We start from the raw sequence: 16513 nt of genomic DNA on the forward strand, positions 1-16513 counted from the left end.
AAAGCAGGCAACATGGCATTGGCCAAGTAGAGACCCCATCTGCATAACAAAAGATTAGGGTGGGATGGCCAGCTTCTTCGCACACTATGCAAATGGGACACCTGGTCTGACCAGTCTCTCATGTCCTATGTAAATCAGACACTGCCTCCTCAAGCTCGTCTATAAAACCCCATGCATTTCACCATGAAGCCCAAAGACCCTACTTGGGAGTCCCTCTCCCTCTGCAGAAGAGAGAGCTTTTCTCTGCCTTTCACTTATTAAACCTCTGCTCTTAAACTCATTCCTTGTGTGTGTTTGTGTATTCAGTTTCCCTGGTGTGAGGCAATGAACCTCGGGTATTTTCCCCAGACAAACCATGCCCCTTCACAATCTTTATTATTTCCTTTCTTCAACTTGTTTTAGGTTTAGTTTAGACTTCTTTTTCAAGTTACAGGAAGTGGAAGTTTAAGTGACTGATTTAGATCCTTATTCTTTTTCATATAGGTGATTACAGCTATAAATTTTCCTCTAAGCACTGCTTTATGGCTGCATTCTACAAGTTTTGGTGAGTTGTTTCATTTTTATTTAAAGCATGCTCTAATTTCCTTGTGGTATCTTCTTTGATCCATTGGTTACTTAAGAGTGTGATGTTTAATTTCCACATGTTCCTGAATTTCCCAATTTCCTTCTGTTATGCATTCTCATGAGATTAGAAAACATACTTTGTATGATTCCAATCTTTTTAAACTTACTGAGTACTTTTTTATGGCCTAACATATGGTTTACAGTGCAGAATGTTCCATGTACACTTGAGAAGAACATGTATTCTGATGTTGTTGACTGGAGTGTTCTGTAGGTGTCTGTTAGGTTCCACTGAATAATAGCGTTCCTTTAATTCTTAAGACGTGGTTTCCTCTAGTTTTTGCACATATTCATAACAGTGTACTTGAAGACTTTGCCTAGTAATTCCAGTGTCTGGACTTCCTCAGAGACAGTTTCCTGTGAATGGACCATACTCTTCTGTTTCTCTGCATGTCTCATAATTTTTTGTTGTTGAATATTAGACATTTAAAATAATATAATGTAGCAAATTTGGAAATCAGATTCCCTGACCCCCCACCACAAAGAGTTTGTTGTTGCTATTGCTGTTTGTTTCCTTAGTGATTTTTCTGGATTAATTCTATAAAGTCTGTGTTCTTTTTCATGTTTTGCTGCTAAAATTCCTGTTAGCTTAGTAGTCAACTAATGATTGCACAGGCTTTTTTTTTTTTTTTTTTTTTGACAGAGTCTTGCTCTGTCATCCAGGCTGGAGTGCAGTGGCGTGATCTTGGCTCCCTGCAGCCTCTACTTCCTGGGTTTAAGCAATTCTCGTGCCTCAGCCTCCCAAGTGGCTGAGACTACAGGCACACACCACCATGCCTGGCTAATTTTTGTATTTTTGGTAGAGATGGGGTTTTGCGTGTTGGCCAGGCTGGTCTCAAACTCCTGGCCTCAAGTGATCCACCCACCTCGGCCTCCCAAAGGGCTGGGATTACAGGTGTGAACCACTGTGCCCAGCCCAGATATTTCTTTAAATCCCTTAACCCCATAAGTGTCCCAGCCTTTGCTGAGGAACACTGTGTGTGTGTGGAGCCTGACTTCAATGCTTTATCAAGCAGTTTGCAGCTCTGCCGTAGCCTTCATTTCCTTCTTGTGCAGAGCCTCAAGGTCAGCCAGAGGTGAGACATCAGGGTCTTATCAGGTCTTTCTGTGCATGTGCACTGCTCTGCACATGCATGAAGCCTCTATCCTATCATCCCAGGAATGTATCGAAACTTTTAAAACCCCCAAAGGAAAAAAAAACCCAAAGGATAACTCATTTCCCAGTTTTTCCTTTCATGATTTTACATAGCCTATTGACCCCAAATGGTATTGCCACATAGGCAGCTACGATGTTGAACAGTTACTGCTGATTGTTTTTGACAAGTGCCCTGAGGCCAGGGCTGGTCACACAGAGTAAGCTCTGAGTCAGGTCAGATAAAGACAATCCCTGGGAACAGAGCTTTTCAGGCAGCTTCCAGACAGGTCAAATAGTGGCCATTTTCTGGGGATAGAGCTTTTTGTGGGCTGGTTTCGCAGACATCATAGTTGCAAGGCTGTTGGTTTTCATGCCTGCAACAGAACTGTAAAGAGGGCTGTGGGAATAAGACAAGTTAAAACTTCACAAAGCTTGCTGTTCTTACTGCAATACGGCCTTATTTTATTTTTTTTAGAGACTGGGTCTCACTCTGTCTCCCAGGCTGGAATGCAGTAGCATGATCATAACTCACTGCAACCTTGAACTCCCAGCCCAAGTGATCCTCCTGCCTCACCCTCCCCAGTAGCTAAGACTACAGCCATGTACCACTGCACCCTGATATTTTTTAAAAAATATATAGTATTTGTAAGGATGGGGTGTCACTGTGTTGCCCGGGCTGGCCTCGAACGCCTGGCCTCAAGCGATCCTCCTGCCTCAGCCTCCCAAAGTCAGCCTTATTAAAAAATAATAATTGTAATAATAAACACTCCTCAGGTAGCTGCAAGCCTTTGGTTAATTTGCAGAAGTATGAAAAAATTGATTTTGACTGTTTTTGCCAGCATGCTCATTGCTTTTATGAAGGAACAGATTTCAGAAGTCCTTATTCTAATTATCCTCTCATTCTGGTCATGCTCCTCCACCTGTTTTTGTGCCTAAAGTTTTATTGGAATGCAGGTTTGCCCATTCATTTACATAGTGCCTATAGTGGCTTTCACACACAACTGAAAAGTTGGACAGTTGCGACAGAAACCATATGGCCTGCAAAGCCTAAAATATGTACTATCTGGCCTTTAGGAAAAGGTTTGCCAAGCCCCACCATAAGGCAAGAAAATGATATACAGATTGCAAGGAAAAAGTAAAGTGCCATCATCCACAGGTGAAATTTTTTGGCATTTAGAATTTTTTTATTTTTTGATCATTTATTCATTTATTTAGAGACAGGGTCTCACTATGTCACCCAGGCTGGTCTTGAACTCTTGGGCTCAAGTGATCCTCCCATCTTGGTCTCACAGAGTACTAGGATTATAGGCATGAGCCATTGCACCCAGCCCAGAAAATTTTAAAATCTGTGAACAACTTGTTAGAATTAGTAAGTGGCTGGACATGGTGACTCAATGCCTATAATCCCAGCGCTTTGGGAGACTGAGGCAGGAGGATTGCTTGAGGCCAGGAGTTCAAGACCAGCCTGGGAAACACAACAAGACCCTGTCTCTACAAAAACAATAAAATAAAAATCAGCTGGGTGTGGTGGCACCTGCCTGTAGTCCCAGATACTGGAAGGCTGAGGCAGGAGGATAGCTTGAGCCTGGGAGTTGGAGGCTGCAGTGAGCTATGATTGTACCACTGTACTCCAGCCTGAGTGACAGAGTGAGACTGTGTTTCCAAAAAAAAAAAAAATAGTAAGAGAATTTAGCAAGATCATTGACTACATTAGCATGCAAAACTCAGCTGCAGGACTTATGAACACACCCCTCCCTGCCTCTCTCAGTGATCACGACTAAAAATTCTGAACAGAATGCCTATAGTAACTGTCTGAGAACTCTGAAAAGTAGATCATAGGTGGCAGATTAAGGAAGGAAATGAAAACTGAAAGAATGATGGGCATTGCTGTGAGTTCCTGGACTGGTTGGTTGGTTGGTTTTTCTCCACATTCCATAAGATAGATTCTAGCACAGCTCAAATCCTGGAGCTGTGAAGTGGTTGGAGGAAATGCCTTGTCTTTCTGGCCAGAGAACCAGGAATGGGGGACAAAGAGTCAGGGGGTGGGGGCAACTCCAAATTTTTATTTTTTATTTCCCTTTTGACTGCATCTCCATTTGCTCTCTTCTCTTCTGAAACTCATTTTCAATGGATGTCTCCTCGTAGGTTGACCCTCTAGTGTTTTTGTCTTTTCTCTCCTAATATCCAATCACTCTCCCATTTCTCCTGGGATTTTCCGTTGCACATGCCATTTCCTCTTCAGGGAACATCAAAGAACACTCTTCCTGCCCCTGCAAAGAGATGTCTACTTAACTCCACCACCCAACATTCAGATGGCTTTTGCCATCTTCTCTGACTAGCCAAGTCTCTCTACTGGATGCTGTATTTAGTCCATTCAAATGCTGCTAATAAAGACATACCAGAGACTGGGTAATTTGTAAAGGAAAGAGGTTCAATTGACTCACAGTTCTGCATAGCTGCAGAGGCCTCAGAAAACTTACAATCATGGCAGGAAGGGATGCAAACATGTCCTTCTTCACATGGTGGCAGCAAGGAGAAGTGCCTTAACAAAAGCAGGGAAAGCTCTTATAAGACCATCAGATCAGGCCTGGCATGGTGGCTCATGCCTGTAATCCCTGCACTCTTGGAGGCCGAAGTGGGCAGATCACTTGAGGTCAGGAGTTCAAGACAAGCCTGACCAACATGGTGAAACCCTGTCTCTCTACTAAAAATACAAAAAATTACCTGGGCATGGTGGCGCATGCCTGTAATCCCAGCTACTTGGGAGGCTGAGGCAGGAGAACTGCTTGAACCCAGGAGGCGGAGGTTGCAGTGAGATGAGATCTAGATTGCACCATTGCACTCCAGCCTGGGCAACAAGAGCGAAACTCCCTCTCAAAAAACAAAAAAAAACAAAACCAATCAGATCTCGTGAGAACTCACTAATTATCATGAGAACAGCAGCATGGGGGTAACCACCCCCATGATTCAATTAGCTCCCACCGGCTTTCTCCCACACCACATGGGGATTATGGGAACTACAATTCAATATGAGATTTGGGTGGGGACACAGCCAAACCGTATCAGAAGCACTATGTCTTTTTCATTTCCAGCACTGGTTAGAGTTGTCACCTTGCATTTACTTGCACAATTCTTAGATTGCTGCCAGTTTCCTGTTCGGTCCATAAGCCCTATCTGACTTTGGTCCATCATTGTGCTTCCAGAATCTAAAATGGTGTCTGACATGTAGAGGGCTTCCAAAAATGTTTCCTGAATGAATGATGAATGTCTCTATGTCTTTGCACATGTTGTTCCCCCTACCTGAAATATCCACCCTTTCCATCCCCTGTCAGTACACCTCTGCATTCCTACAAGAACCAGCCCAAGTGTCACCACCTCTGGGAGGCCTCCCCTGGTGCCCTAGGCAGACACATTGCTTCTGCAGCATTGTGACCATGGGCTGGAAGAAAGCAGCCTTGTCACCTTGCACTACAGTAGCCTGGGGCATAAATATTGTCTAAGAAATCATTGCAGTTTCCATATTTTTATGCAATAAGGAAGCCTACTTCCAGCATGAACCCAACTTAGAAAATACTCTCAGCCAATATTTCAGATTTCAGCACAACCCTCCATCAGGGTGCATGACGTGAGGACTTTACAAATGCCGCGGCAGAACCTATGGGCCTAGATGAGAGGGAAGGGGTGGAAGCTGTGCAAGGGCCCACAGCACGGGCTGCCCTGTGGAGGCGGGTCTAGATGCTGCTGCTGATGCAGGTCTGATGTGTCAGCACAGAGACCCACCCTGAGCCCTGGAGGAGTCCAGCCCAACGCTTAGTAGCAAGGCATTTACAGAGGATCCATTCCACTGTGGAGGGAGCATGATTTATCCTCGTAAATAACACCTACTCCACATTGATATGTGTCTTCCTTGGCACAACCCTGCCAGCTCTACACATGGGATTTCAAAAGTGACTGATTTCTCAATCTAGAATCCTGCACAATGTCACCTTGGACCAAGAAATACTTTTTTTTTTTGAGACAGTCTTGCTCTGTTGCCCTGGCTGGAGTGCAGTGGTGCAATCTCGGCTCACTGCAACCTCTGCCTCCCAGGTTCAAGTGATTCTCCTGCCTCAGTCTCCTGAGTAGTTGGGATTACAGGTGCCCATCATCACGCCTGGCTAATTTTTGTATTTTTGGTAGAAACAGGGTTTTGCCATGTTGGCCAGGCTGGTCTCGAACTCCTGACCTCAAGTGATCCACCCACCTCGACCTCCCAAAGTGCTGAGATTACAGGCATGAGCCACTGCGCCCCGCCCAAGAGATCAATTTTACAGCAAAAGGTCCACAATGGATACATGGCAATGGGATCCATTGGTCCTATCAACAACTACATGAGCTGGACACAGTCAGCCTGGATGACCATTGAAATGGCTTATTAAAGGCTAGGCTAAGGGGTCAATTTGAGCTTTCTCTGTGGGGTTTGGAGCTTGTATTAAATTAAAATGTATCTGGTGGCTCATGCCTGTAATCCCAGCACTTTGGGACCCCGAGGAAGGAGGAACGTTTTGAGGCCAGGAGTTCAAGACCAGTCTGGGCAACACGGTGAGACCCCAACTCTAAAAAATATATATAAAATAGCCAGCCATGTTGGTGGATGCCTGTAGTCCCAGCTATTCAGGAGGCTGAGGTGGGAGGATCGCTTGAGCCCAGGAGTTCAAAGCTACAGTGAGCCATGATTGTGCCACTGCATTCCAGCCTGGGCAACAGAGCAAGACTCTGTCCCCAACTCTCTGCCTCCAAGAAAGTACCTGGGATTTGTTTTAATCAGGTATGGTGAGGCCAACAGGTCAGGAGATGAATGCCGTGAAGCAAAAATTTTTACTCACCCATCCCTAGAAACAGGAGGCCACGTGGAGCCACTCAGGAAAGCACTCGGGTAGGTCAGGAGGGAGAGGCGGAGGGGGAACGGGGCAAGAGCCTTCACTGTGGTTTGTGCAAGAAGGAACGGGTAAGGCTGGGGGAATGGGTTGATTGGGTTTGGGATTGGCTCATTTGAGTAATTTCAGCAGCCTCCAGGGTATAGGGGCCACTCCTAGCTGTCTGATGTCTGGCCCTGGGATGCTGGGGGTAGAGGAATATTGTCTCCAAGAGTGCAAAATCCAGATGGAGAAGGTGGTTGAGTTTAGGCTCTGGATTGGTCGGTTTGCATACCAAAGGCGTGCTAGCGCTCGCAGGAAAGTTGTTTACCATCTCTAGGAATTCACTAGCGCTGGAAGGAGCAGTCTCTCCAGGATTAGCAAGGCCCCCAGAAGTCAAAGCATCATAAAGTACAGAAAATTTAAACAAATATTACTGATACGAGCTATCTTCTACAATGTGCCGTACGCATTGAACCAACAGTTGATGCACCGTATCCCAGTAGCTGGAATTGAAATTTTCCCAAAGCAAGGACTGACCCCTCCCAAATCACTCCCAGTGACCCCAGTGGCACCAGACAGCCCGATTTTCCAGTTGCCAGAGAAACACTTCCATTAGAAAATTCACTGAAATGGGCCAAGTGCAGTGGTTCACAGCTGTAATCCCGGCACTCTGGGAGGCCGAGGCCAGTGGATCGCTTGAACCCAGGAGTTTGAGACCAGCATGGGCAGCATGGTGAAACCTCATCTCTACCAAAAAAAAAAAAAAAAAAAAAAAAAAAACCAAAAAGTTAGCTGAGTTGTAGTGGTGTGCATCTGTGGTCCATGCTACTTGGGAGACTAAGGTGGGAGGATTACCGAGCCTGGGAGGCAGAGGTTGCAGTGAGCCATGATGGCACCACTGCACTCCAGCCTGGGTGACAGAGTGAGACCTTGTCTCCAAAATAAATAAATAAATAATAAAACCATGAAAAGTTCCTCTGAACCTGCATCTGTACATGTGTAAATGTTATCTGTCACTTTGGGTTTCTTGTGCCGATGAAATAGAATTCAAAGGAAGGAGCTGCCATACTAATGGGGGTCATTACTGAGTATTATGAGGGGTATGGATGGCTGCTGCACAGTGGAGGTAGGGAGGAGTCTGTCTGGAACATGGGGTTTTACCAGGACCCCAGGAGCCCAGCAGACCATGAGGATCTTGGTGCATTCGTGCCTGGCGATAACGGTAAACAGGGGGCAGTCATGCCTGGCAGAGAACAGGCAACCAAAGGCTGGGGTCCCTCAGGGATGAGGGCCTGGGTCACCCCAGCAGGCAAGAGCCTTAGACCATCTGAAGTGCTGGCTCAGGGTGAAGGAAATCTTGCATGGGTTCTCTCTAGAGGGGACTGATGACAAGTATTAATTATGGTCTTGGGACCAGCTGCAGCTGCCCAGAATGTAGCTCATTCCAACACATCTTTGTATTCACTCTCTCTGTAGGTCATGCCTGTCCACTCTCCCGAAGACTCAGTGCCACCATGGACTTGGGGTGGGCACACGTGGATCTGAGTGGTGCAAGGGGTGGACTGTGGCAGACACTTTCTGGTGCTCTGTGTCACTTTCCATTAATTTCCTTCTGATTTCTGCAGCAGCAGTGGTGGTCAGTTACGGGCAAGCACAGGCATGCAGGGAGTGTCCCACATCAAGCATGTGACAGCATCTTTTCCCTCTCTGGCTCAGGGTCCTTTCAACAACAAGGGTCTGTTGAGGCTATGAGCAAGCTCTGTCCAGGATTGTGAGGAAGTCAGTGTCCTCAAGGGACACCCTCTACCTCTCGGGGGGTGGAGGAACAGGTGGATACATGCTCCAGGCTCCTTCTTGCAGAAGGACAATTCTGGGAGACATTCTGTACTCTTTGCAAGGGTTCCTACAGAATCAAGCCCCCTTTGCTGAAGCAGCGACCTTGATAACTCACCCTGACACCAGCTTTTCCTCTTTCCCTTTAACACTCTTTTTTTCTTCTGTCTGTTCCTTGAGGTGCCTCCCAAATAAACTCCCAACTCCCAAGACCTTGTCTTAGGTTCTGCTATGAAGGCCCCCAAACAAAGACACCCCCGTGTTTTTGTTTGTTTGTTTGTTTGTGACGGATTTTCACTCTTGTCGCCCAGGCTGGAGTGCGATGGCAGGATCTTGGCTCACTGCAACCTCCGCCTCCCGGGTTCAAGCGATTCTCCTGCCTCAGCCTCCCAAGTAGCTGGAATTACAGGCATGCGCCACCAAGTCCAGCTAATTTTGTATTTTTTAGTAGAGACGGGGTTTCTCCATGTTGGTCAGGCTGTTCTCAAACTCCCGACCTCAGGTCATCCGCCTGCCTCAGCCTCCCAAAGTGCTGGGATTATAGGCATGAGCCACCACACCTGGCCTGTTTGTTTGTTTTTTGAGGCAGGGTCTTGCTCTGTTGCCCAAACTGGAGTGCACTAGTGCAATCATAGCTCACTGCATCCTTGACTTCCCAAGTTCAAGTGATCCTCCCACCTCAGCCTCCTGAGTAGCTGGGACTACACGCATGCATCATCATGCCTAGCTAATTTTTTGTTGAGATGGGATCTCACTATGTTGCCCAGGCTGGTCTAAAACTCCTGGGCTCATGGCCAGGTGTGGTGGCTCATGCCTGTAATCCTAGCACTTTGGGAGGCTGAGGCGGGTGGTCACTTGAGGTCAGGAGTTCGAGACCAGCCTGGCCAACATGGCGAAACCCCGTCTCTACTAAAAATGCAAAAAAAATTAGCTGGGCATGTGGTGCATGCCCGTAGTCCCAGCTACTTGGGAGGCTGAGACAGGAGAATCACTTGAACCCGGGAGGCAGAGGTTGCAGTGAACTGAGATCGCACCACTGCACTCCAGCCTGGGTGACAGAGCAAGACACCATCTCAAAAAAATAAAAATAAAAAGTAAAACTCCTGGGCTCAAGTGATCCTCCTACCTCAGCTTTCCAAAGTGCTAGGATTGCAGGCATGAGCCACCGTGCCTAGCCAAAGACACCCTGTAATCAAGCAGTCCTGGTGGAAGGGCTGGGGTGGCCCAGGGCAGCAGGTGTCTGGCCAACAGTTTCTAGTGTTTTGTGACTGCTACTTACTGACACACATAAAAGAGACAGTCATACTGGTGTGTACTGGTGGAATGTCGACTCTTATCTTCAACAGTGCCAAAGTTCAGGGTTTAGTAAAAGTATTTAAACAGGGCGTGGTGGCTCACATCTGTAATCCCAGAACTTTGGGAGGCTGAGGCAGGTGGATCATGAGGTCAGGAGATTGAGATCAGCATGGTTAATACTGTGAAACCCTATCTCTACTAAAAATACAAAAAATTAGCTGGGTGTGGTGGCACATGCCTGTAGTCCCAGCTACTAGGGAGCTGAGGCAGGAGAATCGCTTGAACCTGGGAGGCAGAGGTTGCAGCGGGCTGAGATCATGCCATTGCATTCCATCCTGGGTGACATAGCAAGACTCTGGCCCTCCCCGCACCCCCCGCAAAAAAAAAAAAAAAAGTACTTAAACTGGGCCTGGTGGCTCACATTTGTAATCCCAGCACTTTGGGAAGCTGCAGCAGGAGGATAGCTTGGGCACAGAAGTTGGAGACCAGCCTGAGGCAACATAGTGAGACCCTCCATCTATACAAAAATTACAAAAATTAGCCAGGCATGGTGGCATGTACCTGTAGTCCCAGCTACTTGGGAGGCTGAGGTGGGAGGATTGCTTGAGCCAAGGAGGTCGAGGCTGCAGTGAGCCATGATTGTGGCACTGCACTCCAGCCTGGACAAGAGTGAGACCTTGTCTCAAATAAATAAAAATAAAAAACAGTATTTACAGGTCTGAGAACCGCGCAGGTCAAGCCATTCATAACTAGTTCTTTCATGTATTCATAACATTCCAAGACAAAACCTCCATTTAGGTGATTATCTGAATGGCTGGGGCCTATGCCACTGGTATACAGAGTATGCCACTTGGTAAGTGGTCTCTCTTTTCCTAAATGGGGCTTCAGCCAGAAATTTGTCTTGTTTGGTTTTGTAGGGTGGTCAGATTGTGCCAAGCATTACATATGATGCTTGAGTCATAATCACGTTGATAACAGAAAAAGAAACCATTTATGGGCCCTTCCTGTACTAAGCACTTCATATGCAGGATCTTGTATGCCTCAGAATTACCCTCCATGGTAGCTATTGCTGTTACTTCCAATTTCTTGATGAGGACACTGGCTCAGAGAGGTTAAGTAACTTGTCTGGGGTCACTCAGCAGTTAGGTGACAGAGCTGGTATTCTTGCCCTCTCCCTGGGCTGTTTTCTTAGTAGCACCTGTGAGCTCCCGCCTGGAAGAGATGCAGTCATTTCCGCTCACATCCTATTGGCTGGAACTGGTCACATGACCCCAGGTGAATTGGGAAGGAGGCTGGGAGGTAGAGAAGCACGTGGCTAACTGGTGAACATTTGCAGCTCAGCATCAGATACAGCCGGGTGCAGGCAGGGCTCTGTGAGATGTGGTCATCTCTGCACATTGATTGCCATGCAAGGCTTGACTCAGAGCATCTGTTGGCCTGTGTCTGCTTCTCCAACCTGTGCACGCACAAATGGGACCAGCCCTCGGCATCTCTGAGAGACTAGAAGAGGCCTTGAACTCCACTTGGGATCAGCTCTTCCGAACGCAGATTAATTGCTGTTGATGTTCTTTGGACATAATTTTCCGCGAGACAGGATCATTTGGAAACCCATAAATACACATTCAGATGCACGTGATGGATAAGAAACTCGGCTCCAACGAGTCATTTGAGCTGCCATAAATCTTGTTTGCATTTTCTTCCCTGGTGCCTGTAAATCAGGCCCTATCTCCGCCTTCTGGGTCCTGGTGGCCCCTACCTGCCATCCATTACACTGCAGGTGGGGCATCTGACAGTCAGCCCCACACGCCGCCCTCATGCCCTACGCACATCCATCACGTGGCCAACCCTGCATCCTGCCACCCTCCTGGGGGGCCAAGGTTCCCTGAAGTTTTACTTGTCTCTCGTGCTTTTCTGAATAGCAGTTGTCCCCTACCCCCAAAATCACAGATTACACAAGCCTGATTGGGTTTTAACGACATGCAAGTTTTAAAAGCAAACTGGAGAGAGCTGCTCCTGGGTTTCTACCTTCTCCTTGGCCTGTGCCCCTGTGAGCTGTTTTGTTTTCAACAAGCCAACCATGCAAAGAGCAGGCAAAACCTCACGGGGTTTGGAATCAGACGCGGTGGGCTGCAATGGTTCTGTAATTAAGAGATTTCAGCCGAGTTCTTTCTCTGGGCCTCAGCGTGCTCATCTGCAGGATAGAGATAACAAACCCTACTTCCTCAGATTGTATCTCAGTGTAATAATACTCAGGTAATCGACGTAAGAGAAACCCCCAAAACTCAGTTGCTTAACCCAATGTACAGGTTTGATTTTTGCCCCATGCAAAATCCAGTATGGCAGCTTCCTTCTCTCTTACAGCTTTGTTTTCTGGAGTGGATATTCCTCTAAGATCACCGCGGCAGGAGAGGAGAGAGACAGAAAGAGGACCTTGGCTCCTAACTGCTCCAGTCCAGAAGAGATGCAGTCACTTTCTGCTCACATCCTATTGGTTGGAACTGGCCACATGACTCCAGGTGAATTGCAAAGGATGCTGGGAGGTAGAGAAGCACATGGCTAATTGGTGAACATTTGCATTCCTGCAAGAGTGGTTGTGAGTGTTCAATCACATGCAGTTCTCGGGGCAGGGCACCGAAGGGGTCTAGCAGAGCTTCGGGATGTCAGAGATGAGCCTAAAATAAGATTGGCCGGGCGTGGTGGCTCATGCCTGTAATCAGAGCACTTTGGGAGGCCGAGGGGGGCGGATCACTTGAGGCCGCCTGGGCAACATGGTGAAACTCCGTCTCTACTAAAATACAAAAAATTAGCTGGGCATGGTGGCACCTGCCTGTAGTCCCAGCTACTTGGGAGGCTGAGGCAGGAGATTCACTTGAACCTGGTAGGTGGAGGTTGCAGTGAGCTGAGATCACTTCATTGCACTCCAGCCTGGGTGACAGAGTGAGACTTTGTCTCAAAAATAAAATAAAATAAAATTTTGCCTGTGACCTGCTCTGGGCTGGGCAGCAATTTTTGTTCCTTTGGAATCCAGGCAGGACCCAGAGGTCAGCCCTGGATCAGAGGGACTGTTCCTCCTTTCTTCCTTCTCCCACCCTAAGGATGAAATCTGTTGCTTGTCCTGGTGGAATTCTCTTTTTCCAGCTCCCATTCTCAAAAGCACCCCATAAAATACCAAAAATAAACACTGTTCATGGCTTCCATTTGGGGAGGATTTATCTTTTTCCTTTAATACTTCTTACCACAACATACCAGTCTTTCATCTTTGCATGCCTGGGTCTGTGACCCTACCCTGGGAGGCAGGCCAAAGGCGGTGTATGCAGGCCTCTTGGGTCAAATGAGGACTTACCCCTCTGAATGCTGAGGAAAGCACAGGGGACTGTCTGGGGAAGGCAGCACGCAGTGAACAGACAGGGAGATGCTGGGTCTGGGCCTGGAAGGATGCGTAGGAGTTTGTCGAGTGGCAAGGTTGAGGGAACAGACAGGGAGACATTGGGTCTGGGCCTTGAAGGATGCATAGGAGTTTGTCAAGTGACAAAATTGAGTGTGTTCCTGGCAGAGGGAGCAAAGTGTGCAGAGAGATAGGAATGGGAATGGACTGGCGTGTTCTGGGAGCAACTGGAAGTTCCGGAAGTCTGGATGTTAGGGTTCCTGGGGATGGAGAGGCCAGGAGGACTGGGTTGTGGAAGACCAGACTTTATCTCCAGGACAGTGGGGAGCCAGGGAGCAGTGCAAGTGAGGCGGGGACGTCCCAGGACACCTGTCCACCACGGCCAACTTTTGTGACAGCACTGACTCTTGTATTGGTGGCAGGGTGGCTTGTTTTCTCCCCACATTTCACTTCCTGAGCAAAGGCAGTCTTGCAAGAATCTGAAAGGAGGCACCACATAAAATGACTCTTTTTTTTTTTTTAAGTAAAAAGTCAACAGTTCCGTGATCTTTGTAAAAATTAATCAGGAACACATGCGTTCTATTTTTCGTAAATTGCAAGGGATCAAAAGGAAAGGAAAATGCTCTTAGGGTGAAAGACAATGGGAGTTCCATCACCAGCTGGAACACTCCACACACTGTCTTGGAGTTGGGGGGCCTTCCCTGCACCCGGCGTCCTGGTGTGCCTCCCTGGAGAGAGAGCATGGGCTGGGCACGAGATATGGGGTGGGCTTAGATACGACCCAGACCTGAGATGCTCCCAGACAGGAGCAGGGGACCAGGCCCAGCAGGGGGCAATGACAATCTCTGGAGGGACAGTCCAGGGCCGAGGGAACCCAGAGAAGGCCTCTAAGTGTCTCAGACACAGGAGGAGGAACAATTGGAGAGGAGACCAAATGGGTGGGCTGGGGATGTATTAAGACTGTCTTTTTTTTTTTTTTTTTTTTTTTTTTGAGACAGGGCCTCTTTCTGTCACCCAGGCTGGAGTGCAGTAGCACGATCTCAGCTCACTGCAACCTCTGACTCCTGGGTTCAAGCAATTCTCCTGCCTCAGCCTGAGACTGTCTAGAATGTACAGCTAATGAATCTCTATTTTTCTCTTGTACTTTTCTCCCTTACTATCTGAGGATGGGGGCACAATGGCAAAAGCCCTGGGCACAGAAAATCAATCCAGCTTTTCTCTTACAGTGAGGCCAATCCCATACTTTGTAGGGTTTTTCATTTTTTTTTTTCTTTTTGAGATGGACTCTCGCTCTGTCACCCAGGTTGGAGTGCAGTGGCACGATCTCGGCTCACTGCAACCTCTGCCTCCTGGGTTCCAGCTGTTCTCCTGCTTCAGCCTCCTGAGTAGCTGAGATTACAGGCATGCGCCACCACGCCCTGCTAATTTTTGCATTTTTAGTAGAAATGGGATTTCACCATGTTGGCCAGGCTGGTGTCAAACTTCTGGCCTCAAGGGATCAGCCCGCCTCAGCCTCCCAAAGTGCTGGGATTGCAGGCGTGAGCCACCATGCCCAGCCCCAATCCCATCCTTTGAACCTCAATGCCCTCATCTGTAAAATGGAGATCATAATGAGCCCTACTTCCCCCAGGGGAGCTATGGACAGGTTCACGCTCTCCGGGGCCTCTCTCACACTGGCCTTCCCCTTGCCGGCCTCCCCTGGGTCTATCTGCTGTGGGGGCTGCAGTCACTCATGGGCAGGAGAGGTGAGGAAATGCAGTTGCACAGGCCTAGACCCAGCTGATGCCCTGTGTGTCCAAAGCCCAGTGGGGCCTGGGCTTCTGGTGGCCAGGACGCCCCTATGTCCAACCCAGGGTGGAGAAAGAGGCCAGGAGGACATGGTACTCTGAAGGCCTTTTGTGTGGCATCCTCAAGGAACCAGATCCAGGGCTCCTCCTGCACCCTGAGCCCCACCACGGGACCAGAGCAGCACCCAGCCTGCCGCCAGCCACCCCCGCGGTGGCCTGGTGCCAGCCCTGCAGGCGGGCAGTGAGATAATCCGGCTAGACGGGCTGCCATCTTGGCACGTCCCAAGACGCCCGAGGCCACGGGGAGCTTCAAAAGGAAAATTAATGTCTCTTACCAGCAATTAGAGGAAATTATTCAGATAGAAATCTTGTTTTCTATCTCCTCATCCTTGTTTTTGAATCCCCAGCCTTTGATTTCTTTCTTCTCTGGGGATTCTCAGAAAGACACTCTGAGAGCCTGGGCTGTGCACTGAGGCCTAATGAGGGCCTGGCACACCTGGCATCACAGCCTCGCCCGGGGTAGTCGGCTTCTGAGGCCTGTGCCTCCTGAACCCAGCCCTGAGGTCTTCCAAAGAGGCTGGCGGGCCCTTGGCAGCTGAGGGCAGCTCTCCCGAGGTGGGTGGGCCTCTGCTGGGGCTGGCTCCCCCTGATGCCCAAGGGAGGTGGCACCGGGCTACAGGCGGACGTCATGCACCTGGGGTGAAGGGGTGCTGAGGGCACTCTTGGGTGGAGGAGAGGCCCAAGGGGTGGACTCAGTGGGAACTGACACCCTTCCTGTCTCAGCGGGGACCCCTCATGCTCTCCGCCCGTCAGTCTTTCCCCACTGCCTCAGATGCAGCCTCAACTTCCCAATCTGGCGCTCAAAGCCCTGCAGATCTATCCTCGTCAGCTTCCCTGGCCCTTCCCCCCATCCCCTCCTCTAAATGTCCCCCGCTCCACTTGCCCAGGGTGCTGGGCTTATTCCAGACAGGAGCTCAGCCGCCATGACCCACGGTGGCACACACCCTGACCTGACGTAAATGACCTTCTTCTCTTTTTCTATCTGGCAGACTCCTGCACCTCCTCAGGTGGCCCAGCCCTGCCTCACCTTCTCAGGGATGCTGGCTTGGACCCCACCCAAGAGAACAGTTGGCATCTCCATCACCTAGCCCAGGCCACTGTCCTGAGCTAATCAGGAGCTACTCATGGGCTCTCTTCCCTAGAAACTCCTCGAAGCCAGGGAGAAGGGCGGCTTCATCTCCAGGTTCCCAGCACCAGGTGGCCCAGAATGGGCTTTAATAAGCTCCTGCTTGAATGAGTGACACCCAATGATAATGATGGTTTGAATAAATAAAAGAATGAAAGAATGAATGGGACTGATTAGAAGAGGCACCAGGAACAAGGTGTCAAGAGACTAATCTTGAATCATGATTCAGTCACTTCCTCCCTGTGTGACATGGAGCAAGTTGCTTTACCTCTCTGGGCTTCATTTTTCAGTTCTGTAGAATGGGATTAATAGTTTTAGCCCTGCCTTCAAAACAGTTGTGTGGCTAAAACAAAATAAAGGTGTTGCCAGGCA

At 48.6% G+C, this 16513-nt stretch overlaps 1 long non-coding RNA gene across 1 annotated transcript; it reads left to right on the plus strand.

Annotated features, from left to right (window-relative positions):
* Positions 1–482: 482 nt before the first annotated feature.
* LOC107986832 (uncharacterized) lies at positions 483–16513 on the plus strand. Its single transcript, XR_001745314.2, has 3 exons — positions 483–544; positions 12145–12299; positions 16005–16513. It is a non-coding gene; the product is annotated as an uncharacterized LOC107986832 (long non-coding RNA).

This window comes from Homo sapiens, chromosome 7, assembly GCF_000001405.40.
Source record: "Homo sapiens chromosome 7, GRCh38.p14 Primary Assembly".
NCBI classification, from domain to species: domain Eukaryota; kingdom Metazoa; phylum Chordata; class Mammalia; order Primates; family Hominidae; genus Homo; species Homo sapiens.